Source organism: Homo sapiens, chromosome 3, assembly GCF_000001405.40.
Source record: "Homo sapiens chromosome 3, GRCh38.p14 Primary Assembly".
Taxonomy (NCBI): domain Eukaryota; kingdom Metazoa; phylum Chordata; class Mammalia; order Primates; family Hominidae; genus Homo; species Homo sapiens.
Genome location: NC_000003.12, coordinates 172,143,295 through 172,158,371, shown reverse-complemented (window position 1 = coordinate 172,158,371; position 15,077 = coordinate 172,143,295). Strand labels below are relative to the sequence as shown.

The 15,077-nt window shown below is 40.2% G+C and overlaps 1 protein-coding gene across 11 annotated transcripts in view, besides 2 other annotated features; it reads right to left on the bottom strand.

Annotated features, from left to right (window-relative positions):
* The window catches only part of FNDC3B (fibronectin type III domain containing 3B), a 362,092-nt gene that overhangs the window by 243,298 nt on the left and 103,717 nt on the right, over positions 1-15,077 (bottom strand). The gene's annotated exons all lie outside the window — the stretch shown is intronic.
* Positions 4,799-5,093: an enhancer, noted in NCBI's record as "tiled region #1756; HepG2 Activating non-DNase unmatched - State 14:Gen5'". NCBI's record gives its function as "activates a minimal TATA promoter and a strong SV40 promoter by Sharpr-MPRA in HepG2 cells {active_cell/tissue: HepG2}" and the evidence as "EXISTENCE:reporter gene assay evidence [ECO:0000049][PMID:27701403]".
* Positions 4,997-5,086: an enhancer, noted in NCBI's record as "active region_20822". NCBI's record gives its function as "activates an Ori minimal core promoter by ATAC-STARR-seq in GM12878 lymphoblastoid cells {active_cell/tissue: GM12878}" and the evidence as "EXISTENCE:reporter gene assay evidence [ECO:0000049][PMID:35858748]".

The following is a 15,077-nucleotide window of genomic DNA, read 5'->3' as shown; positions in this document are numbered from 1 at the left end:
CCATTAAAAACATCAGACCAAATGCTGACAAGGATGAAGAGAATCGGGATCACTTGTACATGGCTGATAGAAACATAAAATAGTACAACCACTCTGGAAAATTTTGTCAGTTTCTTATAAAACGAAACATTCAATTATAATAATAGGCTATAGCAGTGTACTCTTGGGTACTGTCTTAGTCCATTCAGGCTGCTGTAACAAGACTACCATAGACAAGGTAATTTAGAGATGATAGAAATGTATTGCTCATGGTTCTGGAGACTGGGAAATCCAAGATCAAGGCACCAGCAGATTCAATGCCTGGTGAAAGCCCGTTCCTCATAGATGGCACCCCTCCATGTGTCCACACAGGGTAGAAGGAGTGAAAAAGGTCCCTCTGGTCTCTTTAATCATGGCACTAATCCCATTAATAAGGGCTGAGTCCTCATGATAAAATCAGCCCCCAAAGGCCCCACCTCTTAATACCATCACGTTGGAGGTTAAGTTTTAACCTATGCATTCTGGGGGAACACAAACATTCAGACCTCAGAAGGCATTTATCCCAAAAAACTAAAAGTCATGTTCAAGCAAAGCCAGAACTATCAAATGTCCTTCAACAGGTTACACTGATTCATGTATATGATGAAATCCTGCTCAGCAATATAAGAAATAAGCTATTGATACACAAAACAAATGGATCTCAAAGAAATTAGGCTGAGAAAACAGCCAATCTCAAAAACTTATATCCTGTGAGATTTCATTTACATGACACTATTGAAATAATTTAGAGATGGAGAACAGATGGGTGGTTACTAGGAGTTAGGGATAGCAGGAAGAAAGGGGAGTGGCTATAATGGGCTAGCACAAGAGAGCCTTTTGGTGCTAGAACCACTCCATATTTTAATTATGGTAGTGATTATTACAAATCTGAATGAGTTCCGTGGACTGTACTCATGTCTATTCCTGATTTTTATATTAAAATATAGTTATGCAAGATGTTACCATGAGGCAAAACTAAGTGAAAGATACATGGAACTTCCCTGCACATTTTTTGCCACTCCTTAAAAATTCATGATTATTTCAAAATAAAAGTTTGAAAAAAAAAATACCAGGAGCTTTGGTACCATCTTGGGTTCATGTTCTGGCTCTACCACTACTTTGGATAAGTTAGTTGGCCTATCTGGACCTTTGTTTCTTCATGTTTAAAATAAGGAAAATAATATTTGCTGGCAGCTTAGCGAAACTTAAGAAGAGAAAAAGAAAAATAACAACAGATCTCATCTCAGATAAATGGGACCAGATGGCAAGGTATTTTTCAAGAATAGTATCATATATGACACTGCTTGTATAATTAAGTTACACAATCCCCTTACAACTTTTCACAGTCCATTGATAAATGTGACTTTTCTTTTTGTAGACAATATTAGGTTTATACTTAAAAGCACTGTTATTAGAACAATAGCCATGTCACCATGCAGACCGGAATATTGAGGACAAGTAAACTTCTGATAGTCCGTAATCTGATGAAACACACCTCAAAAGGTTAAAAAAACATTCTACAAGGATAAGTGATTTGACCTGGAATTCGATACGGTTCATTTCCACATCAAGATCAAACAGATTAATTAGCTGCTTTTTAACCAAATAAATACTGGTTGCTTTAGAGAGCAGACAGTGGGGAAAAAAAAAAAAAAAAAACTTCAAAACTCAGCACTAGCCACTTTTCTCTGTAGATCCCTTTCATGGTTAGGTTTTCCAGGTTCAATTAGCAAAGGATACATACAAAGAAACGTTGAAGATCTTGGCTAGCAACTTGACACCCTCAGGCCTACCTGGTTCCTTCTTGCAACGCAACGGAAATTCCTGTGCCAGTCACTTGCTGGCTGCAGATCCCTGCCAGCCCATGTGAAAGCGGCTGCCAGCCTTCAGGCAGCAACCTGCCTGGCTATGTCTTGCGCACACTTCCTCTTGCCTCCATCCAAGACCAGAGGGAATGGCCACTTGGAGCCGATGGCTAATGGTGGGAACAACAGCAACTCGGAGCCAGATTTTGTCAAATTGTATTTGAGAAAAAGGAGAGAGGACAGGATGCCAAACAAATGACAGCCTTAGTTCTATTGCTCAAAACAATTTTATTTGTTTATGCAATTGATGATGGCAAAACACATGAGATTAATAAAAACTTTTTTTAATAAGGCAAAGAGACTTGTGAGGCTTTGTGAGGGCTCTGAAGTTTCATTTAAACAAAGAGTCTCCTGAAAATCTGTAATGCAGAAATTATCTCATTACCATCACACAAAAGAATGATCACCCCCCACTGACATGGCCTCCTACTCGCAGTTGTATTTGAAGAATACATTTACCAAAACCATTTAGAAAAAGAGTCTCTGGGCAATTTTTTTTCTTTTTCCAGTATAAGTTGAGGAAAAAAGCATATAGTTACATATACAGCTCTTCTGCCACTGCAACGGATTAACAGATAAGGCTGTTTCTCCCCTTCTAGTCCCGGACCAAGTACAAATCCAGCCTACAACAGTAACAACAAAATACCATAAATGATGTGGGTAACTTTCTAATTCCACCAAGGCATGGTTCAAGAAAATCAGAGCCTCTTTAAAGGAAATCAAGTGACTTTACTGAAAATGGAAATAGGCCTATTACATATTTAATATCCCATCCTCTCCATTCACTCCTATTTTGCTCTCTTTTCTTACAAAATTGTTTGCCCTGGGCAGAGGCTTCTGTTGACTGAGTTAGAGGCGAGCAATAGGAGAAAATGGCTTCCAGGAAAGGGGAAAACACTGGAAAACCTGGCCAATGTAAATGATTTCCAAAATCTGTTTGTAATCACAAGTCCACCTACCTACTAGACTTGAGGCTATGCAGGAAAGTCAGTGCTGAACCAGGAATGAGGTCAGTATGACAGACCTGAATCTGCCTTGGTTCTGTTCCATAATCTAGGCTGAACAATCCAGAAAACAAATGCAAGTGAATTGTGTAGACAACTGACACACCAGGAACTAAGGGTTACACCATATACCAAAACTCATCCAACAATCAGATTGGGATGCCACAGCTGTAAAGAGAATCAGGGAATCAAACTGCTTTCCTATCTCCAAAGAAGAATCCTCCACGAGAGGGACTTACTGAAGCTTAAACAAAGAAAACTGAGAAAGATTTTCCACTATCTAAGTCAGACAGTCTCCACATTCTCCCTATGACTTTGGCTGGGTATTTGAGGATCATCTTTGACTAAGTTCTCTTGGTAATTTTCCATATCCAGTTTCTGTAACTTAAAAACTTAACCATACTTTAAAATGCTAAGGGCTCTTCCTTTCAAAGCTTCCCTCCATCTCCAATCCTACTGCCGCCCCCCAGTGACCTCACACCTAGACTAATGAAACCACCTGGGCTGTTCTCTGTGGTTTCCAGCTCTGACCTACAAACACATAGAGTACATCACCAGCCCCCGACTTGTCCCACCAGCACCCCACTTGTTCCCACGCAGGGTGGGAAGCCATTACAGCAGCTCCTGGAGAGATCACGAAGGCTCAAAAGCAGGAGACAGATTAAAGTTATAAAACTTTTATTCCCAGGCACCTTGAAAGTTATCATAATGACCTAACACCGTGACCCTACCAAAGGTAAAATTCCCTCACCTATAAAATTAAGGTTGTAGATTTCATCAGTGGTTTCTCAATTAAGTATGCGGGAGTGTGGAATGGTCAGGGGAAGAGTTTCCAGGGCCACTACTAAAAGAAAGATGAGCAGCTGGGCTCCGGCCTCTCTGCCCTCAGTCAGCTCCACCTGCACGTTTTGTACAGTGGGCTTTCAGGTGGGAGTAACTGAAGACAAAGTTCTACGATCACTTCTTAGAAGAAACCATAGCCTGGGCACGGTGGCTCATGACTGTAATCCCAGCACTTTGGGAGGCGGAGGACGGCGGATCACGAGGTCAGGACCATCCTGGCCAACATGGTGAAACCCCGTCTCTACTAAAAATACAAAAATTAGCTGGGCATGGTGGCACGCACCTGTAGTCCCAGCTACTCGGGAGGCTGAGGCAGGAGAATGGCTTGAACCCAGAAGGTGGAGGTTGCAGTGCACCAAGATTGCAACATTGCACTCCAGCCTGGTGACAGAGCAAGACTCTGTCTCAAAAAAAAAGAAACCATTAACGGTCTCGATCAGATTACAATTAAAGTCCCATCTCACTCTAAAATTCTGTGATACTATGACTTTTGGGGGGCCTATTAGAAGACAGTAACAAGGAGCTGTCCTGGATGCCTTCAAATAAGCAAACTCAAAAAATATTCAGTAGTGGCTGAAACAAGCGCTTATCGAGCATCAAGCGGGAAGCTGACAGCACTGAAGGGAAAACTAGGCCACAGGATTTGCTCCTGAGCAGTTTCTCAGAGTCCTTTTCTCCAGTTCCTACCAAGTTGAGGGAACTTTTTCCACCAAGACACAAACTCTAGTCTTTTGGTTTAGGTTTTTGTTTCTTTACTACCTGTCTGCAGGATAGGGCTAAGAGCTCACATCGCCACCAACCTGTGCAACAGTGTGGCTGTGAAGGCTGCAGTCCAGTCTGGCCTCCTCAAAGCATCCTCTCAGATGTTTGAGACAGACTGGGGCTTACCCCAGAAGGTAACTCCTGCTGATAAGAAATCCTTCCTAGGGCCAAACAAATCACTGTTTGACTCTTGAGGCATTCTTCACTCCTGTTTTTCTTCCTCCTCCTTCCTTCCTATAAGAAAGGTGTCTTTTAAGTATATCTACCAGGAAACCTGAATAGTTAGGCGCTTTCCCCTCTGAATTTGTTCCGTATCCCGCTGGTGATTCATGCCCCCAGCCTGCTCCTTCCTCAGTACACTGAGGTGGCTCTGTTCTGCTCAGTTGTGGGAGGCCACGTCAGCAGGAAACAGCACTGGCTGCCAGGTCACATTCAAGACAGTCTGGAGCAAGGCAGCGTGCAGCACATGCAGGACAGAGGCCGCCTCTGTGGTTTCTCCCAAGTGCAGGGAGCACTCGGCTTGGAAAAAAAGGCTGGCCTCTGAGCACTACAGCAACACCAGCTCAGGGGAGACACAGAATACTATCTTTGAGACTTTCCCCGTTTTTCAATGTTCCCCAGATATTCCCAGCTCTAGAGTTATTATTTTCTCTTCTTCTCCTTTTCTTAGAGGGCTTACTGTACTGTATCCAAATTCACATTTGGAAAAGGCTGCCACAAGCCAAATCAAACTTCATCGTGGCTTTCTGGCTCCCAAGCCCGACAGAGGAAATTCTGCACACCCCATCAACCAATCTCAGCGGTCCCGACACCCATGAGTCAGGATGGAAAACCTGACCCAGGGGCCGACACAGAAAAGTGGTCACTACAGGCCTTTTTCCTTCTAAACACATACGGTAAACACAGTAAACAAAGAAGCCATGCCAGATGTCATCATAATACCTCACAGGATGGATTCACGACAAGCAGCAAATGAATTGTTCTGTGCAAAGAGACAATGACAATACCACATTTCACGTAGCTGGCCCAGTGAGTCCAAAATCAATCCTCATGTAAACCAACATGATTAAGGGGAAAGAGCTGAAATAGCAGGGCTCCTAGGCACCTGGATTCCTAAGCATTTAATTTGTTGCAAATTTCAAACAGGGGTCCCGTGAAAAGAAGAAGTGTGATTTTTTTCAGAAACTTTGTAAGTTGAGCACGTTCCCCTCTGCTATCAGGGGAAGGGCTCTTAAAAGACAGCCCCAATGTCAAAACCTTCTCTCCAAAAATACCAGGTTTGAAGAAAAAAAAAAAAAAAAGCCCTTCCCATGGAGAATGTGAGTGGCAGAAACAGGAGAAAAAACAGGAAACAGGAGGTGAAGACAGGGAGTAGTTGAGGACATGAAGGGTACGGAGAATGGGCAATGGATGGAGAACGGACAGGAAGCAATGCAACACACCCGTGGAAACACAGCAAAGGCAGTCTGATTCTGATCCTGATTCTGACAATTTTGCCAGGCACTGCGCTACTACTTAGAAGGCGTTAAGTACCCCATACATACACACAGAAACCCAAATGCAAAAGGAGTGGGGAGTGAAGGGGTGAGGCTTCTAAGAGAGGTCTACAGCAATATGGGCATGAAGAGTGAGCCAGTAAAGGGAGAAAACCACACAGAGCCAGGAGGCCACCTATGGCTGCAAAACCAGCGATTTTTGTGAAGAGGAATTGGCAGCCAAAACAAACCGAAATGTTATATAGGTACTTAGAGAGTTGGTGATGTAAAAGGTATTCCTTTTTATTTCCAGTCATTTGTGAACATGAAGAAGCCTGACAGACCCTCTAAAGTGAGCGGCCAATTCATCAAACCTGGTGATCAGACAGGGACTGAGTATCCACAAGTGGATATCACCAGCTCCTCTACTGATGGGGAGAATGAAAATATTAGATTCTGCTACCTTTTAACTTACTGAAAACCAGAGAAATACAGTAAGCCCTCACATAACGTCATCCACAGGTTCCTGGAAGCTGCAACTTTGAGTGAAATAACGCATAACCGTTTTTCCCCTCATCAATGCTGTAACAAATCCACATCGAAGGAAACAACGCAACTCAAGGACCTGTTATATGTTTCACTTACAGTTTCCAAGAACCTATCCACAACATTACATGAGGACTTAGGGTATTTCAAGTTTAATTAGCTACCGCAGGTTTTAAATAAATATACATTTTCATGGAAGAAAAATCACCTACTAATCTAGGATAACATTTTAAAAGCATTTCCAAAATTAAAACTACCAAATCTCAAATACTTCTTGTACATCTGGAATAAATTTAAATTAGTTATTATGCAAGTGAAGTATCTAGAGGTAGATGGGCTAGATCCAAAGGTAATATATCTCTCTTGGTTAACACTGTAGGAAAAAAAAAGAGGTTGGGGGAGTGGGGAGTGGAGTCGGGGAGACGGTAAGTAAAGAAAGCTAAATAGTTTCCATATAAAGTTAGAAGCACATTTAGATTGCTGAACTGGGTTATGTAGTTTTTAATAGGATAATGCTACAACAGCAAACACGTGAACAATGGAAACCTTAAAATTATTTAAAACCCAAAGTGTAGACTTTACCAAAAGGTTAGACAAAGCAGAACACACGGAAGTGGTAGCACTGGCAAATATACACTCACACATACAGAGTGTGTGTGTCTGTATGAGTACACACAAATATGCATACATATGCACACACAAAAAATAAATAAGGCTTTCCGCATAATGAGACAAACTAACAAAGAATATCACAAGATTATGACTTGTATGTAAGTCCTCCAGGGCATATTTAGAAGCAATGATGTTTAAACAAATTAGTCATATTTCTACAACTAAGGAGATTGAATAGAAAGCTATCTCAATTTTTTCATACACACAAAATGATTATGCAAACACAAACTTAGAAAAAAAACCTATGTAGATTTGTTATTTTTTAAAAAATACCTAGATGAGAAAAATAAAGAGTAGTGTATTTTATGGATTATTTGAAACTTGAAGGATAAACACTTGAGCGGATGGACACCCCATTCTCGATGATGTGCTTATTTCACATTGCATGCCTGTATCAAAACATCTCAGGTACCCCATAAATATATACACTTACTATGTACCCACAAACTTTTTTTAAATAAAAAATTATAAGCATATTTCACCGATTCCAAGTACCTTTTTCACATTTTCACATCTCCTGAAAAAGGAAGTCAACTTAATCGGTGGTGTTATCTCTTTTGTAGAGACATTTAAAAAAAAAGAATGATGCATTTAAAAACCAATGGCATAGATTTGACAAAATGACACCAAATAATCCTAAAAAACCAACTGGAAAAGGACAACTATGTGTAATGCCCCATAGATGAGAGACAAGCAGAAAGGCCATCCCATCTAGCTCAGCAGATAAGAGGTGTACGCATGGGGGATGGGGAGTCAAGACACACACACATCCTTTAGCTGAGGCAGTACACCTAAAATGAAAAGGTACCACTTCTCTGTTTTAGAGTTTTTTCATTCACAAATAATTCAAAACCTTAAATATTAGACATAAAAGTTAAATCTACAATTTTTTTTGAAGTGCAACGTAAACTAAATACTTATGACAATACTATCTTTAAAAATATTCTGGGACCCAATAATTGTATCTAAATCTCTGAAGGTGAGGCCCAAGCATCAGTATTTTTTAAAAATCTCTAGCTATTCAAACATGCAGCCAAGTTTAACAACCAGTGAGAGAAAGCACCCGACATGGCTGGGCGTGGTGGCTCACACCTGTAATCCCAGCACTTTTGGAGGCCAAGGTGGGTGGATCACAAGGTCAGGAGTTCGAGACCAGCCTGGCCAATATGGTGAAACCCTGTCTCTACTAAAAATACAAAAATTAGCTGGGCACGGTGACGGGCACCTGAAGTCCCAGCTACTCGAGAGGCTGAGGCTCGAGAATCGCTTGAACCTGGGAAGCGGAGGTTGCAGTGAGCTGAGATCATGCCACTGTACTCCAGCCTGGGTGACAGAGCAAGACTCTGTCTCAAAAAAAAAAAAAAAAAAAAAAAAAAAAAACACCCAACATACAAAAGGTATACACAAGCTTTTTTAAAGTAGCAATTATTAAAACAAGAGAAATCACACTGGATTAATTTTCTTTCCTGTTGTTACTAGTCAAGAGTAACATATGCTTATAAAATTTTAGAGAAATTTATGTAGGACCTAAAGTAAGGTCTCAATGATAATTTAAAATCTCACTTTCAAGTAGAAAATCCTAGATAATTAAGCTCTTGAAATCTGCCCACACTTGAACCTATTTAAGTAAAGCTTTAAGTATTTTCATAAAAATTAGGGACATATAAACTGCAGAGAACGCCACAGGAATTAAAGAAAGAAAAGAGAAAAGGGGTGGTAAAAATAATTTTAGAAATTATCTGTTCTAATCCTCTTATTTTAAGGTGAGAAAACTGAACCCCTGATCAATGGAACCAGACTAAATGGTAAGGAATTGAAACCTGTATCTGGGGACCCTCTTCCTCTTCTCAGAGCCAGAAGGTTTCAAACCGTTAGGTGTCTTCATTTAAAGTGGAAGAGAAAATTTAAGAATCTAGTTAATTGATTTTTTACTGTATAAATTCAAGTCCAATGACTTTTCAAGTGAATTTCATAAAAACAAACAAAAACAGCTGCACATAACAAAGGGTCTGTGGAAGGTGCAGAGTTAGTAAGATTTGTATCAGTGAAGGGAAACAGGCTTGAAACAAATTTAAAGAGGCCAGACTGGTAAGGCTATTTCACCCTTCCTGTTGAGCCATTTCCTATGTCTCCTAAATACATTATCCAGAGCTACTTTTCAGCACTTTGTCTCAAATTCTAAAGAATCTCATTTTCTTCAAAGTCTGCTCTATGGTTAATTACTTGCCTTCTAACTACTCTGTCTATAGCCAAGAATAGGTAGAATGCACCTGTTGTTCTTGAGTTACATCTGAGATGGAGCCTGGCATTCTATTCGCTTCTGAGGAATGTTAATTGCTGATACCAGCATGACAGGTGCAATGAGGAGTAGAAAAATGATCAATGAACTCAACCACTGAACAGGAGCAGAACTCAGACACTATGAGAAAACTCCTCAGTGCTGTAACTGTAATTACTAATAATACTCAGTCTGGCAATCAATAATTTGACGCTTGAAATAGATTTTTTTAAACAGGGCCCGAAGTTCTAAATTGCTACAATAGTCTCTGTCCACGTGAGAAAAAAAAGAAATGTGTAATTCCATTTTCCATGTTACTATGGAGCCAATTCACTCACCTCAACTGTCTCTCATGGCTTCTCTCTTCTGTAGGCAATGTTCCTCAGTTCCAGATCATTACTGGTGTGGAGTCCTATCTATTTTGAATTCTGAGTCACTTCCTTTCTCACCAGTTTCATGCTTTAAAATTTTCCCATTTTTGTATAGTACTTTACAAAATGAAGCCAACTTCCATATTGGCCCACTATTTTTTTTACCCTCCACATTGGCTGCTTCTTTTACCGTGGCCCAGTTGACTGGGAAAAAGGGATGTACTTATTGCTTGAATAAGTACATCCCTTATTTAGATGTTTAGAATATTTTTCATATTTTTTATAAGTTTCCTAACTTGATGATCTCCAAATACTACATAATATTATTCATTAGACTTTAAAATAACCTAACGATATCTCTGGCAATCATATTTATTCTTATTATGGGGAAACTGAGGCACAGTGAAGAAAAACAAGTTCCTAATAAAATTAGGAACTTAATAAAATTAGCAACTGAATTAGGAGATGGAAACTGAAAGACTACAAACAAATCCTTTGAAAATTAGAGTCCCGGGTTCAAACCTCAATTCATTAAAACTGTAGAAAAGGGAGGAAAAATTTTTCAAAAAGAAAAAAATTCTATCTTTGAGCTTATAAATAATAATCTTTTAAGTCAATTTTTCTTATTTTTCTGCATCTAGATGGAATTTTTTTCCCTTTTGTCCATTGGGTGACCAGACTTAATTCTGAGAGCCTTCTTTTTAATTTAAGGGTACAACTTCTGTAAATACCCTTCTCTTACAAATGTCACCAACCCCGACGATCTCCACCTCCATGAGTCTCAGAACTCCTGAACCAAGAACATCAGTAACACCCTGAACATCTCAGAAATACAAATTTTCTGGCCCCACCCACCCCAGACCTGAATCAGAAACCCTGGGGGTAGAACCAGCAACTGTGTTTTAACAGGCCCTCCAGGTGATTCTGGTTTATGCTACATTTTGAGAACCGAGACTACCTGTTGATAATCTTTAGGGTCTGACATAGATGTCATATACTGAATTCATATACTATAGGGACCACCCACCCAAGTCAAGCAACAAAATGATTCCTAGGGACCTACACCATTCGAGCTAGATTAGGAAGGGAACAAAGAGGGAAGCAAAAGTCCCAGTCCAATCATTTCATAAAGGCATGCGAAAACAGGGCTCACAGCAGCTTATCAGCTTCTGAAAAGTGGCAAGTTGTAAGATGGTTATTTTCTCACCTCACTTTTTTTTTTTTTTTGTTTGGAGACAGGGTCTCACTCTGTCGCCAGGCTCGAGTACAATGTTGCAATCTCAGCTCACTGCAACCTCCATCTCCTGGGTTTAGGCAATTCTCCTGCCACAAGCCTCCCGAGTAGCTGGGATTACAGGCATGCACCACCACACCTGGCTAATTTTTGTATTTTCAGTAGAGACAGGGTTTTGCTATGTTGGCCTGGCTGGTCTCAAACTCCTGACCTCAAATGATTCCCCTGCCTTGGCCTCCCACGGTGCTGATTACAGGCGTGAGGCACCACGCCTGGCCTTCTCATCTCACTTTTTAAAGTCTGTCCACTCTGCATAATCATACCTGTTCCAATCAACTTTGAATTTCATTAAACATAGGTGAACTTTGAATTTCGTTAAACATACGTGAACTATTGTGTTTACATCTAAGTAAGTATAAAGTAAATCTGTACTCTGCCGAAAGCAGTAACTCATATTTCTGTCTGATGGTTCTTGTTTATTACTTAGAAGCTTATAACCAAAGCTAAAAAGCAATTTTAATAGGTTCAGTAAAGCCAACTACCACATAGATTTTACTTAATATGTATAAGAATACAAGATAAAAGATCTTTAGACACTTTACAAAACTGCCAAACTTGCTAAAGAAGATGAACCTGATAAACAGCCACAGGTACACAGCCTGTACACTGAAATGTACGTGGGAAAGCACAGTGCAAGAATTTCTTGAGCTGTCCTGAGGGTTACGTTAACCAGAGCTTCTCAACCTCACTACATATTCAAATGGCCCGGGAGCTTTTCAAAACCACTCATGCCCAGTCCCCAACCCTTACAATCTGACAATTCCCCTACAATCTGACAATTCCCCTGGGCTCAGACAATGTGACACTTCCCTACAACTAGCCTACATATCAACTTTTAAACTTTTTTTTTAAGTTCCCAGGTAATTCTGATGTGCAAAAGGATATAAGCCACTGTTAATACACACAGTTTTAAAATTCTGAGATGTTAGACATGTCCTTTTCCTTGGGCATATGATTCAAGAACTATGTCACTCAACAGGTGAGCGCTTGACTCACAGAATAAGAACTGTCGTGACTATTAACTAAGAATAAATTAACCAATTTAATCCTAGATCTTGATTTCTAACTCATGGGATGATAGTGCCATGCTTTTTTTTATATATTTTATTAATGTTTTTAAAAAACTATTTCCGCCAGGCACGGTGGCTCACGCCTGTAATCCCAGCACTCTGGGAGGCCGAGGCGGGCAAATCACCTGAGGATGGGAGCTCAAGATCAGCCTGACCAACATGGAGAAACCTCCTCTCTGCTAAAAGTACAAAACTAACGGGGCGTGGTGGCGCATGCCTGTAATCCCAGCTACTCAGGAGGCTGAGGCAGGAGAATCGCTTAAACCCGGGTGGCGGAGGTTGCAGTGAGCCGAGATCACACCATTGCACTCCAGCCTGGGCAACAAGAGTGAAACTCCATCTCAAAAAAAAAAAAAAAAAAAGAAAGAAACCTATTTCAAGTTTACACTCAAAGACAATTTATACTATCTGCAAAGATTACTCTTCCTCAACAGAACACAAGCTCAGTTCTAGCATTGCCTAAGTACAGATGCTCTTTAACCTGTGACCGAGTTACGTCCCAATGAAACAATCGTAAAGTTGAAAAATCTTAAACCATTATAAATCTGGACCATTTATACTTGCTTTATTCACAAGGTACCACAGTGCAGCAGGCAAAAACTGACATTGCTGGATCTAGCATAAGACATTCTGAAATGATGTTCAAAATCCAACCAAGGAGAACTGTTGAAGACTCAGCACTTCAAGAACAAACAGTTTGACATTTACATGAGATAAGTGTATGCGTATACCCACTTTAATGAGAACTGCAAAACGAAACAGGAAACACAATTCATCTGGTCATTTCTCTAACACAGAATAACATTTTCACTAGAAGACAGAGCAAGAAAAGGACTTATATTTTGATTTAAGTTTCCACTCTTTTTTTTACTCCCAAAGACTTCTCCCTTGATGCTACACCTCCCTCCTCTTCTTATCAATTTGGAACAGAAATAATAATCTGCTAATACATACCCGGGAGCTTTTTAAATAAAGTGAAGATGTGGACACTCCTATAGCTAGAAAGATAACAAAACAGGTGTTTAAAACTGGCTCCACAATGCAATATATAAAGCATCCAAAAAGGTATTATATTTAAATTATGGAATGCTTCGACCTTAATTCAGGCACAAAAAGACTTGAATACTTAGGGGGGAAATAATCTTTTCTCTTCAAATAGAAAAAAAAAAAAGTGGTAGGGGGAGGAGGGTCTATCCAACCACACAAGAAATGTGAAGCTAATTCAAAGAACTCAAAAGCAGGAATCATAAAGGAAACCCCCATTCTGTGGGCAATTCTGAGGCCAGTTTTCTCCGTATTTAGATTGGATCCAAAAAAGAAGTAGTAAAGCATATTCCCCATTAACTCAGCAGTCTTGCCTCACAAATAGTGTGCAAATTACCTTCCAAGACACTGAAAACCCTCTTCAGAGAGGAAATACCCAAGTTGAGGAAAAGGAAAAAAATACCCACTTAAAAAAAAAAAAAGTTTGCCTTTTAAACCCATATTTGTTACTCTTAATGTGTGTCCAATTAAGAGACAGAGAATACAAAATGTTTAGTGCTCTCAATTATGTTACAAGACAAATATTTTTCTAAGACACTGTAGTTCATCTACCTTAGGGAAACATTCATCCAGTGTGTTCTCACTGGTCACAAGTCATGACTATCTCCTAAATGTCTGTAATATCTGCTTCTCCTTCCACATCCCACCACGAATGCACTCCTTCAGGCTCGACGCCTGCCTGCCCTCTTCAATCACACCGCTGGTAGAGAAAAACCATTATGCCACCTTCATTTAACTCAGTAAATGATATGATTTGGATCTCTGTCCCCTCCAAATCTCACACTGAGATGTGACTCCCAACGTTGGAGGTGGGGCCTGCTGGGAGGTGACTGGATTGTGAGGATGGGTCCCTCAGGAATGGCCTAGCACCATCCCCATGGTGATGAGTGAGTTCTCATTCAGTGCACAGGAGATCTGGTTGTTTAAGAGTCTGGGACCTCTCCCTTCTCTCTCTTACTCCTCCTCTCGCCATGTGACACGCTGGCTCCCCTTCGTCTTCTGTCATAATTGTAAGTTCTTTGAGGCCCTCACGAGAAGCAGATCCCAGCACCAAGCTTCCTATATATCCTGCAGAACCATGACCCAATTAAACCTCTTTTCCTTATAAGCTACACAGTCTCAAGTATTTCTTTACATCAATGCAAACACTGACAAGCACGAATGAGCCTCATTTACTATTTATTTATTTATTTATTTATTTATTTATTTATTTATTTATTTTGAGATGGAGGCTCACTCTGTCACCAGACTGGAGTGCAGTGGCACGATCTCGGCTCACTGCAACCTTCACCTCCCAGGTTCAAGCGATTCTCCTCCCTCAGCCTCCAGAGTAGCTGGGACTACAGGTGTGTGCCACCACGCCCAGCTAATTTTTGTATTTTTAGTTGAGACAAGGTTTCACCATGTTGGCCAGGATGGTCTCAATCTCTTGACCTCATGATCCGCCCGCCTCGGCCTCCCAAAGTGCTGGGATTATAGGCATGAGCCACCGCCCCAACCCTCATTTACTAAAGCATAATTTGTTCCTGGGTCTGACACAGAGTTTACCGAGAATTTATTACTATACATAAACGCTATAATTTCCAACAGCAAGAAAACATAAAATATTAATAAAATTAACGAGTAACCTAAAATATTTGTTAATAACACAAAAATAAATACAAAGTTTGGGAAAAAGTTGATGTATCTTTAAGGATTAAATAGCCTAACATTTTCTAAGGTATTCCCATCCTATTCTCCCCCAAAATAAAGTTATTAAAAGCATGAATATAATGATTCCCTCATGCATTTTTACAGGTAAGAGAAGCTAATCCATATATTGGACTTTTTCAGAA